This window comes from Homo sapiens, chromosome 2, assembly GCF_000001405.40.
Source record: "Homo sapiens chromosome 2, GRCh38.p14 Primary Assembly".
Classification (NCBI taxonomy): domain Eukaryota; kingdom Metazoa; phylum Chordata; class Mammalia; order Primates; family Hominidae; genus Homo; species Homo sapiens.
The window spans coordinates 100817460-100836438 of NC_000002.12; the positions used below are offsets into that span (position 1 = coordinate 100817460).

An 18979-nucleotide genomic window follows, 5' to 3' on the forward strand; every position below is an offset into this window, starting at 1 on the left:
TTTCTGACCCTAGCCCTATTTGGCTGGTGTTTATGCCTGCCTCAACATAGTAAACCCTTTGTGTATAGAAACTGCCTTAATGTTCCCTTGATCCCTCACAGGCCAAGCCCAGCCTGACTCATGGCAAGCCTTCAACAGATGTCAGTAAAAGGAACTCAACCGTCAAATGCATAGAATGAACATGGGGTCAACTCTCCTCCGTAGCTCTCTTCCGCATGTGGGGGAAAGGGCCTAGTCTAACTGGCTTCTGTGATGCAGAATCCACTCTGCCTTATGGTCAGATAGGATATGTGGCCTATCTTAGAGGTATCCTTCCCATCTGGGTGAGATTAACATTAGGACACGGGATGGAGTTTGGAATAAATACGACAACCACATACACGTCATCTCCAGGACTAAAAAGGCAGAAACCACATTTAGTAGGGGCATCTACTGGACAACAGAGAAAAAGAGACCACAGCAAAAACACTTTTTGTACTGCAGAATTATTTGATGAGTTACTACTACAGGACATTCCAGGTTTCCTAAAAGAAAATTTAATGATTGTTCAACAAGTTCCCAAAAGGGAGTAGGAAAAGGGAGTTGGAATCTCTTCCAAAGCAAAAAAGGAAGGGAGGTGACTTTAAATAATGCTTTAAAACCGGTTAGAAGTACACAATTTCATCCTTTAGTAATATTAGTCATGGCCACGCTCTAAAGGCGGGGTGAAACCTACTTGCCTGGAGGAAAAGGACGGGGTAGAAAAACAAAGCAAAATAAAATCCATCAAACAAAAGTTTCTTCTTTTGGAAAGGGAGGGACTTCAAAATCATGACAGGCCAAATGCCTCCTCCTCTTTCTTGAAAAGCCCTCCAAGTCAGAAGCAAGCCTGAGAATAACAGCTGCTCTTAGGATGCTCAAAGCTCCTTGCAGCTGATTATTTTTCAGGAGGAGAATTAGACACAAATAATACAAGTGGGAAATAAAGAGAATGACCTACTTTACAGGGGGGGTAAAAAGGAGCTCTGTGTGAGCGTTTTGATCTAATTGACGGTGTGGGGTTGCATGCCCAAATAAGGCGCTGCTGGTCGGATCTGCGAGGGAGAGGGCACGTCTCAAACTCGAGGGAGAGGACGAGACAGCGAGAGGAACAGCGTCCGGGGCGACCCCCAGTCCACCGCGGGGGCCTGGCGCGCTTGGGGCAAAGGCCCTAGGAGACCCCTTCTGGCCACAAAATCGAGTATGACAGAAAAGGGCCAGCGGGGGCGCTTTCCTTCCAGGGCCACTTGCCGGAATGTAAGAGGGACGGAGAGACGTCCGGAAAAGGCTGCCACGCTCGGAGCGCTGCGCCAGGCCAGGCACCTAGGCCAGGGGAGCGGAGACCTCGTGGGAGCGGGCAGGGGGACCTTTCCCCTCTCCCGGGCTTCCACCCAGGCGCCTCCCCGCTGTGAACGCCGCCGCCCAGGTGAAGGGGAAACCGGCCACGTTTCCGGACCTCGGCGGGGCACACGGTCTCCGGTTTTCACCGGCTCTGTCTTGGAGCCCCGAAGGGCATCAGACAGCAGCCCCGGCACCCGGGGATTATTCCTGTACCTCTGCCTCCCTCCGCTTGGCGTTTGCGGGAACCTTGGTAAAATCCTCCCTGTTTCTCGCGCGCGCCTCTCTCTCCAGCTTCTTTTTCTTGGATTCTCGCCTGTCTCCTCCCACAGAGGAAAAAAAAAAAAAGGTCACGTATGTTTGGAAAAATATGTAGGTCAGTGGAACATTTCCTGCACTGGTGCAAAAGGAGAGGAGGGCAGCGGAGGAGGGGAGGGAGAGGCAGAGTGGAGCTCCAAGTGCCCGCTCCTGGCCGCAGCCCCACACCCCACGTGCCCCTGCCGGGGAGGGGGGCAATTAGCCGGTTCCTTTCCATCCTTGACCCATTTTCCGGACCAGCTACGTTCGCCTTAGGACAGGCACTGGTTATTCCTCCCCAGCAGTCGCTGCTGTCCTCCGCCGACCACCGCTCGCCCGCATCTTCCCCGACCCCCGCCTCCCACCTGCCCCCGGGCCGCACCCCCGCCGCTCATTGAGAAATCGCAGTGGTCCCCGCAGAGACGCGCTTTGTGCCCTGGGTCGAGACCTGCGCGCAACCCTGCCCCTGGAGGACAGTGTGGAGGGGGTGACAGTCGCGTGCTCGTCCCCCTTCATCCCCTGCGCGGGACAGCAGGGTGGCGGCCCGCACTGCGAGGGTCTACACTAGGCGGGGGCGGCAGATTCCTTGTTCCCCCCGAGTGACAACTTTAATGGGACCTCGGCTGGCAGCCTCTAGTCCACTTGCCTCTCCTCTGGGCCGGCTCACCTGGAAGCACAACCCCCCCCTCCCCCAGCCCCGGCGCCCAACCCCGACCCTGCGCCCCAGGCCCGACCCCGCCGCGCGTCCCTGGCAGCCCAGCAGAGGCTGCGGCGGCCTGGGGACTCGCGGGTGTCTGCGCCGCCCAGGGAAGCCGGGGGTCTAGGGGGCCGGGGGTCCGTCTGCCTGCGGCGCGCGCGGGGTGCTTGTCCCAGGCTGGGTCGGGGCCAGGAGAGACCCCGCAGGCGGAGGCAGGCGAGGGGAGGAGGAGGAGGGTGGGGGTAGGAGGGGGAGGTGGAGAGGGAGGAGGGTGGAGGGAGGAGGCAGGGGAGGAGGCAGAGGCGGAGGCGGCTCTCCCCGCCGGCTCTGCGTGCGGAAGAGTTTGCCGCGCGAGCAGCCGGCCTCTCGCAGGAGCCGAGGGACCCGCGCGGCTGCGGCCCAGGAGCGGCGGCCGCGGAGCCCGGAGACCCGCAGCCGCGGCGGCGGCGGCGGCGGCGGCAGCAGCTAGAGCAGCGCCTCCCGCCGCCGCCCGGGAGGAGCTCGCCGCGCCCGCTCGCCGCCTCGTCTCCCAGCGGCGGCGGGAGGCGCGTCTCCCCGGCCCAGTCCGCGCCCGGCCCCGCGGGGCCGCTCCGGCCCGCTCCGAGGTAAGGGGCCGCGCCTAGGGGCGCGGGGGACCCAGGGTGGGTAGTACGTGCGCGCGGGGTCGCAGGACTCGGTCACCTGCTCGCCAGCGTGGAGGACGCGCGGGGGCGGAGGGGCGCTCAGGCGCGAGGCTGCGCGGCACCGGGGACCCCGGACGCGGGGGCGCGGAGAGGTGGGTTCCCCTCCACAGTCAGGCCGCTGGGGGCTTCGCGTCCTGCAGGAGGTAGCAATCGCTGGGCCGGTGGGCTCCGGGCGCGTCTCGACGCAGAAGACAGAGGACTGGGCATCCGAGCCTCGGAATTTGGGGGTCCTCGGGGTGTCCGACAGGGTGGAGAAGGATCGTGCCCCAGGGCAACAGCTTTGGGGATTGCCCGTGGTTGTCTTCGAGACCCATCGCGCTACCCTCCGAAACGTCGGGCGTCCTGGACCCCCGGAGAGTGCGGCGTGCGCGCCCTGGGCCCGCGGTCTCTCGGAGTCCCTGGGTCGGAATTGGTTCCGGGCCGGATTGGGTGCGGAATCGGTGCCCCCAACCCCCGTGTGCGCAGACAGCGTGCAGCCTGGCTCCTCACGTCGCTGCCGCCCCCCCACCCCAACTCCGGAGCTCCCCAGGTTGGATGTATGCGTATGGTTTTGTTGGGAGATGTGCCCCTTTCCCAGCCGAGGAGGGACGCACCTTTGACCTTTCTGAAGAGCTGGGCAGGTCGGTAACCAGGGAAGGGACAGGCACCACCCGGCTAAATTCAGAACCAGTCCCGCTCCTCTGCTTGCCACTCCTTAATTGCTCAAGGTAAGAAAGTTTGTTTCAGCCCTGTGATTCATAAATAATTAGTAACTAGTTTTGTTGATTAAGCAAGATGGAAACCTTGAATATACGCACGCACTTCCACAAAGTCTAAACACTCCCGAGCTTGTGTCCGGGAGGCTTTAGTACGGAAAGTTAGAAGCCCTGGAGTTCAACAGGTGTTCAGGAGGGTCCCGGAGAGGAGTTTCGTCTTTACGCGTTGCTTTGGCATCCACCCCAACTTCATTAAAGTGGTTAGCCTGTTTTCCTACAGGTAAAACATTGATCACTTATTAAATTAACTTAATCAGCAGAGACGAGCTAAACCGTCTTGATCATTTAGAACCCAAACCTTATTTTCCTTAATAGAAAGGTTTTTCCTGTTTGAACTTCCCAGGTAATTAGTTCTAAAGTAGTTCCCAGCAAGACATCTCTGCCAGCATCTCTCTCTCACTGTAGCTTGGTCCCCATCAGTGAATTGACCAACTAATTATGGCTTGCATTAAACACAGAGCTGCCCTCCTTGGGAGGCACTGTTCACATTCAAGCGCACACACTAGCTCCATCTTCCTGCCACTAAGATGTCCTTAAAGGAAAAAGTTAGCCAAAAATAACCCCCAAATAAATAGTGTAATGTTTAAAAGAGTTATCCTGACCTGCGCCACTATTTTATAAAAGCAAAAATTCAGTGTTTCATTACAGCGCTAAACCAGGACCAGTAGAAGTATTGGTATCTCTCAGCAGTCTACTTAAATATTTAGTTAAAAATAAAGTGTGCAAAGTAAAGACGTTCAGTAATTATCTTCCATCTCACAGAGAGATGTGGAGTATGGCTTAGAAGAATTGTAAATGCGCTGCTTTTAGCCGTTTTCTTCTTGGAAATCGATGCCTCTATTTATTTGCTGATCTGTCCCACTGTGCGTAAATGTAGAATCGGTTTTATTCTCACTGCTTCCCAGAGGGGCTCCTGTGGAGGTGAAAGAAGGAAATACGTTCTAGAGGAAATATGTTATTAATAAAACGTTACCCCCAAAGAGTTAACCACGCCAAAAATAACCAAGTGAGGCTTTACTAATTAGTGGTCTGATGAGAGAGTGTTCAGATGATGACTAAAGAATTGATCTTTATGTAGAAAACAACAATTGTTTTTAAGCTCATTTGGTTCTCTTAAAACAGTTTGGGCCCTTTAAAAAAATTTCTGGCTGTTTAATAATGCAAATGATGAAAATCGTTAAAGATAACACATATAACCTGATGTGTGCCATGTTTAAGTTGAATTCACCCTATTTTTTTGAACAATCTTTCTTAACTCTTGGTAATCTTTATAGCTCACTCAACACTGCAACTTATTAGATTAAAAACTGAAAGTTAATTTTTTCAGAATAAAATAATAAGGCATGCGTATACTTTTTAATTTAACCATCTTTATATGTTCATTTTTTCAGAGTCTTGCTTTTGAATCTTAAGAACCCAAAGGGCTAAGTCTTCTTTCTTAATTTTTAAAACAAGCATGTGTTTTGTTCTTTACATGAATCGTCGGTTCTCCCAGTGTGATCACGACACTGTCCCATGCTGATTCCATGCACGGTGCAACTCTTTCCCAAGAGAGGTCAGATTTCGAGGTGTTGAAAATAGCCCAGTGACTCAGTATTCTTGGCTGCTTTATGCCAACGGTTTAATTGGCTGCATCATAGCAAGCATCTAATTGAGTTTCACATTTAAATAGTGGATAGGGTACTTGGTGCATTATTTGCTTACAGAAGTGTCTGATTAGCATGTTCCTGATCCTCGTTCTATTTGTAGCAAAGATGGGAGGTCAGGGACTGTCACATTTCATATTCCCCACAGCATCTCATCTCGATGGGGCCTTGTTCAGAATAGATGCTCAGTAAATAGGTGTGGGAAATGAGCTGAATTGTTGGTGGTCACTATCCAAAGGTGAGAAATTTCTGAATGCTAATGGGGTACTTAACTATGAGTAATTCTATTTTAAATCTCAAGGTGATGATGATTAATAGTATCTCAGGGCACTAAATAAACATGTATTAAATATGAGCGTATGTTTAAAGGGGGAGTTTTTAATGCAGTCTTTAAGGCACAACTGCTTCTCACTTGAATTCTTTAACTGAGATTAAGGAGTCCTTGGCATTTTAAGCAAAGTCATTTCTTAGGTAAAGTTCCCCCAGAGACCACTTGAACTTTTGCAAGTCTTAAAACAATGGGTGGTTCCATTTGATGGTTCAGAATAGAAAGGAGAGTGTTGATCCTCTACACTGGTATGAAAAAAACTGTATAAGGAGATGGAGGATGCTGGATATCATAGTGCCCGAGAATCACCTGGGGCCCTTGTCAAACACAGATTCTAACTCAGGACACCTGGGAGAGGACCCGAGCTGCATTTCTCACAGCTACCAGATGCTGCACGCTGGCAAGGTTTTGGGATGCACTGAATCCAGTTCAGCATGTTTACTGAGCATATACCACATAGAGAGCCCAGATGATAAAAAAATGAGAAGATGGGTTGTACCTGCCCTTGAGGAGCTAACAAGGTGAGGTGGCAGGGAGAGAGAGAGGGATTGTAAACTGAAAATGAGGTTCTGGGATGCCATTCTCTGGGGTGGTGGCCAGAAAGGGGCCCAGGAAAGGAGAGTTGCTGGTAGGGCTTCCACATTGCTGACCTTGACCTGTAGTCATATTTGAATGGAGAGCCTTGTGACTTGGCAAGAAATAAAATGCAGATTTTGAAGTCAGACAGACCTGGGGTAGCCTCCCAGCTCAGCTATGGCAACTTTTAACCTGAGACTCAGAGTCCTTGTCAGAAAAACAGTGCAAATGATGCTTACCTTGCCAAGTTTGTAGAATTACCAGTAAAGGACGCGTGTTAGGCCTAACAAAAGTGATTGCTTTTATTACTGTTGATAGGAGAGAGGAGGCTGGAAAGCAAGGAGGACGAAGAGGTTACTAAAATATGTTCCATGTAGTTCACCAATTAGAGATTCAATTTGGTTTACCAGCAAACCCAAGGCCGGCCGTGGAGAACCGGGCCAGGGCTGGAGGGCAGGCAGCTGTGGAAGCTAATCAGAGGCAAAATGGAAAATTATTGGGAGCATGCTTATCTCCACCCTCTCCTGCAGTCCCTGGCTTCTGGTTTGCTTTGTTGATAGCCCTTCCTAGGATATTTTCATCTGAAGCTTTTCTTGGTACTTAAGCTGTAGGTTCTGTTGATCAAGACTGCTAGTGGCAATCAAGCGCTCTTTAAAAATGTAGTGGAGAGGACAAACACCTCTCCTCTTTGAGGGGCATTGGTCTATTCTGTGGTGGGTCACTTTCCAGGATCAAAGCCATCAATCTGTCTTTCCACCATAGTACGAGTTACTTGAAACTAGTGCCGAGCGTGTTGGAATTCACCTGGGGTGCCTTTTATGCTTTGCACTCTAAGATATTGCTTCCTCCTGCCATCTAGGAGAGATGGATATTGCAAGGCAATGGTGTCCTTCACCCTGATATTAGGAGGGGTCACCTGGGTGGCCCTGAAAACACTTCAACCAACATCACTCTGATTTTTTAAAATATATTTTGGGATTCCATTTATTATTTGCAAAGGCGATTTCTCTGCTACCATTTGCCTTCCACGCTCCCTGAAAGTAAATCTTGAAAACCAAGTTCTAAGAGAATGGCAATGGCAGTTTGATGTTTAGGGGGAAGGAAAAGCAGAGGAACCCCCTGGAGCCAAGGCAGGCCTGGGTGAGGGTGGAGACGAGAGAGGGAAAGGAAGGCATCGTCAGGCATGGGAGTACCAGGATGGAAATGGGAGCAGTGGTGGGGGCTGAAGCTGAGAGGTTGGACCCTAGGACTCAATTTGTGGACTTTGTTGCTTTGCTGAAGGCCGTGGCAGATAATGTTCCCAGACCACTGAAAATCATCCAGGCTTCCAGAAAACACAGGCCCATCTAAAGACAGACAGGTGACGAGGTGACAGAACCTAGTGGCGTGATTCTTCTAGCCTCTTCTGAGCCAAAAATGACATGCACAATTTTATGAATGATATTTGTGCCCCTTGGTGATAAAATATTAAGAGCTCGAGGTCATCTGAAAATTATTGGTTTTTTGTTTATAAAAGTACATAGTTTTTGGAAAAGATAGAAAAGAAGGAAAAAACCCCACAATTTCAAGATATATTTTCCGTTCAGTGTTTTTTCTATGCATTGAAATATTTTTATATTAGTTTATCTTAAAAAGCACATGGATATAATCTTGTAAAAATTTTCAAATAGCACAGAACCATTTCTAGTAGAAAGAAAAAAAATTCCCTTCATCCTTGTGGCCTACCCATAATCATCGCCCTATCTTTTATTTGCCTAGCAGAAACTGGATTTTGTACAGTAGACTGCCAACCCACACCTGCCTCTGGAGGTTTATCAGATTGGCCACTCAACCCTGGTGAGGGTGGGGCTGCTGCCCTTGCCAGTGACTGGCTCAGGGTGAGCATGCGGACCCTGTTCTAGCCAATAAAATGTGAGGGTGGGCCACTGGGAGGCTTCTGGGAAAGTTTCCCTGCTCTCAAAAGAGACAAGGAAGGAAACAGTCCTTTCCTTCCACTAGATACTGTGATATGTGGCCATAATGCCTGCAAACTGGGCAGCCATCAGCCACCAGAGGGGCTGGGCCAGGTCTCAGCTGACCTGCGGAAGAATGCAAAGGTGAAGAAGGGCAGGGGGCGGGGAGGTCTCCGTGGTGCCCTTGACTTTCTGAATTACACAAAGAAGAGTCTGTTTTTGAACATGTGTGAGATCATGAAACCATTACCAGATGAAGCAAACTGAGCTAGTTTTTCTGTTGTAGCCAAAAGCATCCCATAACTCTCCACCTTTCTCAGGAGGTAATGACTGATAACCATGGGGCATGTTCTGCTAGTCATTTTTGGCGCATTTACATATACACACACATATGTACACTTTTAAAAACTAAGGCCGGGTGCACTGACTCACGCCTGTAATCCCAGCACTTTGGGAGGCCGAGGCGGGCGGATCACGAGGTCAGGAGTTCGAGACAATCCTGGCCAACATGGTGAAACCCTGTCTCTACTAAAAATATAAAAATTAGCTGGGCATGGTGGCACATGTCTGTAATCCTGGCTACTCAGGAGGCTGAGGCAGGAGAATCACTTGAACCAGCGAGTCGGAGGTTGAAGTGAGCCAAGATCCTGCCACTGCACTCCAGCCTGGCAACAGAGCAAGACTTTGTCTCAAAAAAATAAAATTAAACTAAAAAATAAAAACAAAAACTGAACTCATTTTATGTATATTATTTAGCAACTTAATATGGCATGGATTTTTAATGACATACCTTTTTCTTTATTTTTAAAGGCTACAGAGTATTATTCAGAAGTACAAATAGGACGTTATTTAACCCATCCCTATTAATAAATAATCTATTGAGTTGACTGTTACAGTTTTTGTATTAACTTCCTTATCTGTATATCTTTATGTACATTTCAAGATTTTCTAGGTCAGGGATTATTAGGCCTGGGTAAAGGCACACCTGTTTGAAATATTGATAGATGCTGCCAAATTGGGGGCTAAAAAAAGCTATGCCTGTTAACCTCCCCATCTACAGTGTGTAAGGCCGCCTTGTCTCCATATCTTAACTAACACAAGATATTTTCCAGCTTTTAAATCTTTTTTGTGCATTTTCACATGTTTGAGGTAGTACCATTTATAGTTTTCTATTCTGATTGTTTTGACGTGAACATAAGCATTTTTCCATGACATAAACAATTTAAATTAAATTTTATTGGCTACATAATAGTTATACTTGTTTTGGGAGTGTATCGATGGTACATGAAGACGCAAAGGGAAATATTTGAAATAGAGGTTGTCTATGAAAATTAAGTGGCTATGATCGACCTTGCAGTAAACCTGAAAGATTTTCTGGAAATGGTGTTGGGAGACACACCCCTCCAGTGATATGTTTCCAAGAAAACCCTGAGGAGATGACCTTCCAGGCCTTTCTCAATCCAGTCAGATGGTAGGCTGCCCCAAGCATTTCTAAGAAGCTTTGTTGCTTTTAGAATCCATCAGATTTACAGTCAGACAGGTTCTAAATTCAGTTCTCTGAATGTACAGTAGTTACGTAAACACTTCGTACATTGCATGAGACAGCTGAAAAGTAAATTTGCTGTATTCTTTTAATTTTTTCGACTTTTATTTTAGATTCAGGGGATACATGTGCAGGTTTGTTACCTGGGTATATTGCATGATACTGAGGTGTGGGGTATGAATGATCCTATCACCCAGGTACTGATGTAGTACCCAATAGTTAGGTTTTCAGTCCTTATCCCCTGGCTCCCTGCTCCCTCCAGTAGTCTTCAGTACCTGTTGTTGCCATCTTTATGTCCACAAGTACCCAATGTTTAGCTACCACTTATAAGTGAGAACATGCAGTATTTGGTTTTCTATTTCTGCATTAATTCACTTAGGATAATGGCCTCCAGCTGCATCCACGTTGCTGTAAAGGACATGGCTTCATTCTTTTTATGGCTGCATAGTATTCCATAGTATATATGTAACACATTTTCTTTATCCAGTTCACTGTTGATGGGCATCTAGGTTGATTCCATGTCCAGTAGACATGGACATGGAATCACGATTGCTATTGTGAATAGTGCTGTGATGAACATGTGAATGCATATATCTTTTTGGTAAAATGATTTGTTTTCTTTTGGATAGATACTACTATCAGTAGTGGGATGGCTGGGTCAAATTAGTAGCTCTGTTTTAAGTTCTTTGAGAAAGCTCCAAACTGCATTCCACAGTGGCTGAACTAATTTACATTCCAGTCAACAGTGCATTAGTGTTCTCTTGTCTCCACAGTCTCTCCAGCATGTGTTTTTTGACTTTTTAGTAATAGCCATTCTGGCTGGTGTGAGATGGTACCTTATTGAGGTTTTGATTTGCATTTATCTGATGATTAGTGATATGGAGCATTTTTTTCATGTTTGTATGTCTTCTTTTGAGAAGTGTCTGTTCATGTATTTTGCCTATTTTTAAATATGGTTTTTGTTTTTTTTGCTTGTTCAGTTGTTTAAGTTCCTTATAGATTCTGGATATTAGACCTTTGTTGAATGAATAGTTTGTAAATATGTTCTCCCATTTATGTAGGTTGTCTGTTTACTCTGTTGATAGGTTCTTTTTCTGTGCAGAAGCTCTTTAGTTTAATTAGGTCCCACTTGTTAATTTTTGTTTTTGTTGCAATGGCTTTTGAGGACTTTCTTTCCCAAGGCCAGTGTCCAGACTGATGTTTCCTAGGCTTTTCTCTAGGATTCTTATGATTGAAGTCTTACATTTAAATCCTTAATTCATCTTCAGTTAATTTTTGTATATGGTGAAAGGTAGGGGTCCAGTTTCATTCTTCTGCATATGGCTAGCTAAATATCCTAGCCCCATTTACTGAAGAGAGAGTCCTTTCCCCATTGCTTATTTTTGTCAACTTTGTTGATGCTCAGATGGCTGCAGGTGTGTGGCTTTATTTCTGAGTCCTCTCTTCTATTCCATTGGTATATGTGCCTGTTTTTGTACCAGTACCATGCTGTTTTGGTTACTGTAGCCTTATAGTATAGTTAGAAGTTGGGTAATATGATGTCTCCAGCTTCGTTCTTTCTGCTTAGGATTCCTTTGGCTATTCAAGCTCTTTTTTGGTTCCCTATGAATTTTAGAAGAGTTTTTTCTAGTTCTGTGAAAAATGACATTGGTTGTTTGATAGGAATAGCACTGAATCTGTAGATTGCTTTGGGCAGTATGAGCATTTTAATAATATTGATTCTTCCAATCCATGAGCATGGAATGTTTCTCCATTTGTTTCTGTCATCTATGTTTTCTTTTAGAAGTGTTTTATAGTTCTCATTGTAGAGATCTTTCACCTCTTTGGTTAGCTGTATTCCTATGTATTTTATATTTTAATGGCTGCTGCAAATGGAACTGTGTGTGTTTTGTTGTTTTTTTTTTTTTTTTGAGACAGAGTCTCATTCTGTCGCCCAGGCTGGATTGCAGTGGCGCAATCTCAGCTCACTACAACCTCAGCCTCCTGAGTAGTTGGGACTACAGGCACGCACCACCATGCCTGGCTAATTTTTGTATTTTTAGTAGAGATGAGGTTTTGCCATGTTGGCCAGGCTGGTCTCGAACTCCTGACCTCAAGTGATCCGCCCGCCTGATCCCAGCACTTTGGAACTGTGTTCTTGATTTGGCTCTCAGTTTGGACGTTATTGGTGTGAAATAATGTAGAAATGCTACTAATTTTTGCACATTGATTTTGTATCCTGAAACTTTATCGAAGTCATTTGTCAGTTCTAGGGGCCTTTTGGTGGAGTTTTTCGGGGTTTTCTAGCCATAGAATCATATCAGCAGCAAAGAGAGAGAGTCTGACTTCTTCGTTTCCTATTTGGATGCCTTTACTTTCTTTCTGTTGCCTGATTACTCTGACTAGCACTTCCAGTACTATGTTGAATAGAAGTGGTGAGAGTGGGCATCCTCATCTTGTTCCAGTTATCCAGGGGAATGCTCTTAAAACATTTTCAATTCTGCTAGAGAAGAGAGGAAGGCAAATGAAATGGATAAAACTCATAAGAAATGTTAATCACCCTTCAGGCAAGGGCACATTTGAAAAGCACCACTCTTGGGCATGGACCTCTGATCATCCTTCTACTTCCTCACTCCTAAGTGATAGTGCATAGCCCAGGAACACCCACCACCTGCTGTCCTCCAATAGGAAAGGAAAAGGCAAGATGACAAAAGAAAAAACCTTCTCAGAGTCAACAGACCACACAAGAAAAAGATACCTTGAAAGCAAAAACAACCTATCAGTAGACTTCCTGGGGACATCATGAGGCAGCCAGCATAGCTCTTTGGTCTTTGTTGCATGCATTGAGGCATCCCAAATATCCTAACGCGAATAGAATTGTTAGTCATCAGACTACGTGCAATAACATGACAGGTGGTAGAAGAAACTTTGAGACCACGAAGAAATGAGAATGCCTCTATTTTTTATTAATTTTTATGAATGCCTATATTTTTTGGCATACAAATGCAAACATTTGTTTTCTCCTTAATTCAGATGGGTTAACTCCATTTCTTTTTATTTTATTTTTATACTATAAGTTCTAGGGTACATGTGCACAATGCGCAGGTTAGTTACATATGTATACATGTGCCATGTTGGTGTGCTGCACCCATTAACTCGTCATTTACATTAGGTATTTCTACTAATGCTATCCCTCCCCCTCCCCCGACCCCACAACAGGCCCTGGTGTGTGATGTTCCCTGCCCTGTGTCCCAAGTGTTCTCATTGTTCAGTTCCCACCTATGAGTGAGAACATGCGGTGTTTGGTTTTCTGTCCTTGGATAGTTTGCTCAGAATGATGGTTTCTAGCTTCATCCAACCCAGCAGCTAGTCATGGTTCTCCGACATGGGCTGGAGTCCTTTTGGAGTATTTTCACAAATAGTCCCCGTCAGTAGAAGTCAGATCTGTCTTTAGTGTTGTATAGAAACATCCATCCATTATTTTTTCAATCTCAGAACTTGATGGCTTCAATTTTCCATTATCCATCATGGAGGGTGAAGACCTTTTAGAAGCAGACAGCATCATACGTCCACATAGGTCACGGGACAAACAGTGCTGATCACTGCCTGTTGACAAAGTGTTGACAGTAAGGGAGGGGAGGAAACATTTTCTTGTAGCTAGAGAGGTTTTTTGAGGAGGTGGGTTGGAGTGAGGACAAGGGGAAGCCAGTCTGGCTGCTACATTGACCTACCAAATCTTGTGTTTGGGCTGGGCACAGTGGCTCATGCCTGTAATCCTAGCACTTTGGGAGGCTGAGGCAGGTGGATCACCTGAGGTCAGGAGTTCAAGACCAGCCTGGGCAACATGGTGAAACCGCTTCTGTACTAAAAATACAAAAATTAGCCGGGTGTGGTGATGGCTGTAATCCCAGCTACTCGGAAGGCTGAGGCAGGACAATCACTTGAACCCAGGAGGCGGAGGTTGCGGTGGACTGAGATTGCGCCATTGCACTCCAGCCTGGGTGACAAAGCAAGACTCTGTCTCAAAAAATAAATAAATAAAAATAAAAATAAATTGTGTGTTTGCCACGTCAGCACTTCAGTTTGTGTTGTCTACGAAAGACATGGCATACAGTATCATAAGTTACTGCAAAAGATGCCTAATTCCCTGGAGATCAAGATCTAATAACAAATACGAGGAAAACTTTAAACCCCAAGTTGTGGGGTGTGTGGTAAGGTGGGGGCGGATGTGTCAGCTAGAACCTTGCTGAGAACGATTGCTCTGCAGCTCTGTCATCTCAGCTCATCTAATGACCAAAAGCAGATGGAAGTTTTTGTGTGACCTCTCCAAGGCCTTCTTAATGGTCAGAGAGAATTTTCCTTTTATGGCCTCCCCCCTTTCCCCTTCATAGCATTGTGGGAGAGAGAGATTCATTCACAACCAATTTGCATGGCAATTTTTTAGAGGTTTTATGATCTCTCAAGCAAAATAAAATCTTCTTTACTTTCATTTGATCTGAAAAGGTACCACTTTTGGAAACTGTCCAGGGGAAGCACGGGACCCCTGGATTTGGATCCAGTTCAAGGTGGCCTTGATGAAAATAGACCCCTATCCTGCATTTTACATCTCCTTCCTGGCTTTTCTATTCTCTCAAACCTGCAAACCCATATTCTTTTTGCCTTCGTTTGCTGTCATTTACCCCCTAGCATGCTGATTCTCAGCTGCCAGGGCCCCAAGTCCTTAACTTGCTCTCCAGTTATTCCTGGGATGCTTCCTGGCAAGGCTCCAGCTGCTGGCATCATTGCTCTTGTCCTGATGTGTGTGTGTGTGATTCTCATGACCAAGCTGGGCTCTGCCTGGGCCTGCGATCCCCGCTGAATCCCCTGCACCTCATGTAGGGTAGGCACATCGGCATTCTATCACATTCCATGGAGAGAATGAGAGAAGAACTGTGCTGATTCCTGACTGCCAGACAGCAGATATGAGCCCCTCAAAGAGAGTCTCAGGAAACTCACAGCACCCTGAGCCACCTGTATCTCCCTTCCCACCCTGGGCAGGTCATTCATCATCCTTGTCCCCTGATTTCTGTAGAGACCTGCTCCAAGCGCTTACCTGACGGTTGCCATGTTGTACCTGCCCTGGCAATTGTTGGCTCCTCCTCAGCCAAGGCCTGCTGCTATTGCTGTACCAGTTCAGGGAGTCATGTTCCCGGTGCTCTGTGAAAAATGGGGATTTATTGGGCAGCAAGGTGGTGCGCTCCAGTGTGCGCCACATCTGTTTGGTCTTGTACTGTTTGGTATATACACAGTCCCTCGGTGGGAGTTGTTGGTTAGCCTTCCAACTGTGCAGTAGGTTTTTCTCCTCTCGCCATGCCTGGTCTAGTAGCATTCTCCCCAGAAGAACGTTGCTGCTGGTCTGCTTAAGAGACCTGGATGGGCCCCTGCCTGGCAATGACCCAGGAAACAATGGGGGTGCTAGTGCAGGAGACACCATGCTTAAATTTTAAAAGGAATAGTTAATTCTTCTTGGGCTCCCAGTTTCTGGGAAGCTGTGCTGTGTTTGTGTGAGTTAGGTGTCCAAAGTGGTCAGCTATCTAACCTCTCTGTACAAAATCTCCTTATGTTTTCCTCGTGCCATGTGTCTAAGCACATATCTCTATGAAGCAACGGCATCTCTTTGCCCATTTTGTACTTCTTTGGGTGGTATCATTCGGATGTGCTTCCCTGAGGCGATGTCTGTGTTTTCTAACAGCTCAGACTTTGGCAGCTCTTGCATCTATTGCAGCCTGTTTATATGAGACACCTATAAAAACATTCAGCCTGCACCGTGGGTGTGCCAGCAGCACCCTATGACCTGATTTTAAATCACAGTGTGTGAGTGGCCATCGTCTTATGGGCCAGGGCATTTTTAAATGGTGTAACGAGGACAGCGCATGGCCCATAGCAGAAAGCTTTGACGCCCTGATATGGTCACTGTGACCAAGTGGCCTTGGCAAGTTGCATAAACCCCATGACTCAGTTTCTTCGTCTGTGAAAGGGAGATATTGATACTCAGGATGAGAATCAAGAGGAGAGAATGCTTGTTAGAGTTTCATAAAAATGAAAAGTAGTGCTATTGATTTATTTTGCGCTGTGACCAGTTCACTCAAACTCTTGCACACCCAGCTGGGTAAATGCCAGCCTCAAGGTGTTTTCTTCTTGAATGAAGTACTTGGTTTTTTCAGACAAGGTACATTCTAGCAAGTAAAACCCCAACATATCCCAGTGTTCTCTTGAAAGCTAACATGAAGTGGGGGAAGTGAAATACTTCAACTCTAGAAGCCAAACACTCAGAATGTCTTGGCAGTTGCTTGGGGCTGCACAGTGTGCTTTTGAAAGCTTTTGCCATTTATAAGAGCAAAGTACCCTGATAACCTTTTGTGTCTGGGATTTCAGTCCAAATCAAATAGCCTCTGTGTATCCCATGGATTCTGAAATTTTTATGGGATGTGTGGGGCTGTTTTGCCATGATGAATGTGACATGTGCTACTTCATGTGGCCTTTCTTTTTTATCTAAAGAGGCTTGGCTTGCAGAATGGAGGCTCAGCTCCCACAGTTCTTAAAGGATCCTATTGTTTGTCTCCTATGTCAGCATCCCCTGAAGAATAAGGATCACCTGGTTTTCAACGGAACCAGGAGTTTATTCTTCAGATTGGAGACACACTCCCAATTCTGGTTAATAAGCTGGTTTTGAGGTGGAAGGAAAGGACCCTAGTGATCATCTGGTACAACGTGGTGCACCTTTTCCAGGTAAAAACTAGAGGCTCAGAAAGCAAAGAGGCCTTTGCTGACTCCTGGAGCTTGCCCGGCACCGAACAGACCAGCCGACCCCTTCCTGGTGGCTCAGTGCTTCTCTTTCTCTGATGAGTCCTGAAGAGGCTTCCTCACCTGGAGAATCAGGGGTTTCTCAGGCCCTGCTTCCAGAGAATCCATAAGAATGAGGCTTTCTGGGCTCAGCCGGCGCACTCTCCACCCAGAGGTTTTGGGAGGGCCACGCCACAGGCCAACTACCCACTCTGCCTGAATCGCCTTATCTCTCTGTGTGCTCTCCACAATCTGCTCTCTGCCGTGAGTAGCATAAGATAAGGAAGGCTGGGTGCTAGAGGCAGCTGGGTACAGGGAGAAACAAGGACAAGGATGGACACGGACCGTCCACTTGACTTGTGGGAACCAGCTGACTCTCTTAGGTGCGGACATCTGACTTTTTTCAGATAGACTGAACGCACAGAGCTCATTCATGCCTATGAAGGAGACTAAACTGCCTACTTACTTGACCAGCTTTTAATAGTGCTTCTCATGTATGCCAGGCGGGGTCAGGGTCAGCTGCAGGATTTTCTCACCCGTACTTTTTAATCCCATAACATTGCCATCCTTGGCCATCCCTTTATCATTTTTCTTTTCTTTTCTTTTCTTTTTTTTTGAGATGGAGTCTCACTCTGTTGCCCAGGCTGGAGGAGTGCAGTGATGTGATATTGGCTCATTGCAACTTCCACGTCCCAGGTTCGAGCCATTCTCCTGCCTCAGCCTCCCAAGTAGCTGGGATTACAGGCATGCGCCACCATGCCCAGCTAATTTTTTATTTTTTATTTTAATTTTTGTATTTTTAGTAGAGACCGGGTTTCACCATGTTGGCCAGGCTGGTCTCAAACTCCTGACCTCAAGTGATCTGCATGCCTTGGCCTCCCAAAGTGCTGGGATTACAGGCGTGAGCCACTGCGCCTGGCCCCTTTATCATTTTTCCATAACAATTTAGGCAAGGTAAAAATATCATCAGGTCCAAGGATCATTTGGGAGGGGGGACCCTGTGTTCGACAGTCATCGTTACAGACACGAGTTTGCTCATTTGCTTTGACAGCAGTCACTTGGAGGGAAGCACTATGCTCTTCCCATTTTCCATACAGGCCACCGGGGCGCAGATAAGTTAAATGACTGGCATGAGGACAGTCAGAACAGGAACTTGAATTTCACTGTTTAGAGAAGAACCAGAAATAGAACAGCTCGTTTTTATTTACTTTTTCTGAAATGTTGCTTTGAAGAAAATAGGATGTGTGTAAATCAAATCCAGCATCTGAACCTGCCTTCTTTAGCTTCAGCAGGTTTTTCTTGAGCAGGAGGTCACTGTGCGGCGGCTGGGTGCATGCCGGAGTAGGAAACCACTCCAGTTTGGTGTCCGTGCTCGACTCCACCCTTCGGAGGAGGAGGCTGCGTGTGAAAGGGTACAAAAGAGGAACGCTTGCAGGAAAATCTTTTTTAGGACAAAATCATTATTCTGTTCCTTGCTGTCTTTTAGTAGCGATCCAGCTTTCCAAAATTGTTTCTCTGGCTGTAATAAGGATTGTTAAATCAGGACACTCATTATGTCTCTCCTCATTTTGGAGTCAGGTACATCTTTCTTCAGCTGAGCTTAACCTAGAAGCCAGCATGGAAAGGTAGGGGTCACCTGGACCACATTTGTCAAACAGCTTTTCACCTGGGTCTCATCATCCCGGGCCTGGAAAACCCGAGATGGACTGAATTTATGGGGAAGCCTCCTAGAAGTCACTCAGGGTCACCCCAAAACATATCCTCCTGCCCCTCTTCCCCTCCACAGCTGAGCACAGACCTCAGCACTCAATGTAATATAAAGGAAATACATGCAAGCAAGATATTACCGACTTTTGAGTAACAGGGTTTTCTAAGTCATTGTTCCTCGGTTTGACTCCTGGGGAGTATCTCCGTAGTGATTCACTTAACTGATTAAGGGCAGTTCAGAGCATCCTAACCCCACTCCCGCCACCAGCCTTGGTTGTAAGCAGAGATGCCAGGCTCTCTTTGCAGGATGGCAGTGAGGAGCCCAGTTAGGTTACTTCCACTTTGTCTACCTTCCTGCTGCTACCGTTTATGAAAACAGAAGCAAAATCTGAACATAAACATCAATAAAGTAATTTGATTGACATACATATACACACACAAAATCAAATTTGCCCTAGCGACCTCACTTCGATGTGTACCACCCCCATCCCAGAGAGGTGGGATCAGCCACCCAGTGCCTTCTCAGAATAAGCATATTACCCTGACCCGAGCCATTTCTGTTTTGTTTTCTTCTCCCCACCTGGAATCCTTGAATAACATCTGTCTGAATTATTCTGGGCTGTATATCATTTCAGAGA

At 46.8% G+C, this 18979-nt stretch overlaps 1 protein-coding gene across 16 annotated transcripts in view; it reads left to right on the top strand.

The window, feature by feature from the left end:
• Positions 1264 to 18979, top strand: part of NPAS2 (neuronal PAS domain protein 2) — a 178107-nt gene continuing 160391 nt past the window's right edge. For 9 of the 16 annotated variants that reach the window (XR_007075420.1, XM_005263953.3, XM_017004214.2 and 6 more), the window contains exon 1: positions 3696 to 3740. The gene's annotated coding sequence lies outside the window, so the exon portion shown is untranslated. Of the gene's footprint in view, positions 1445 to 2679; positions 2956 to 3695; positions 3741 to 18979 lie in introns of those variants that run through there. The other 7 variants (NM_002518.4, XM_047444515.1, XM_011511242.3 and 4 more) reach the window with 2 other exon arrangements.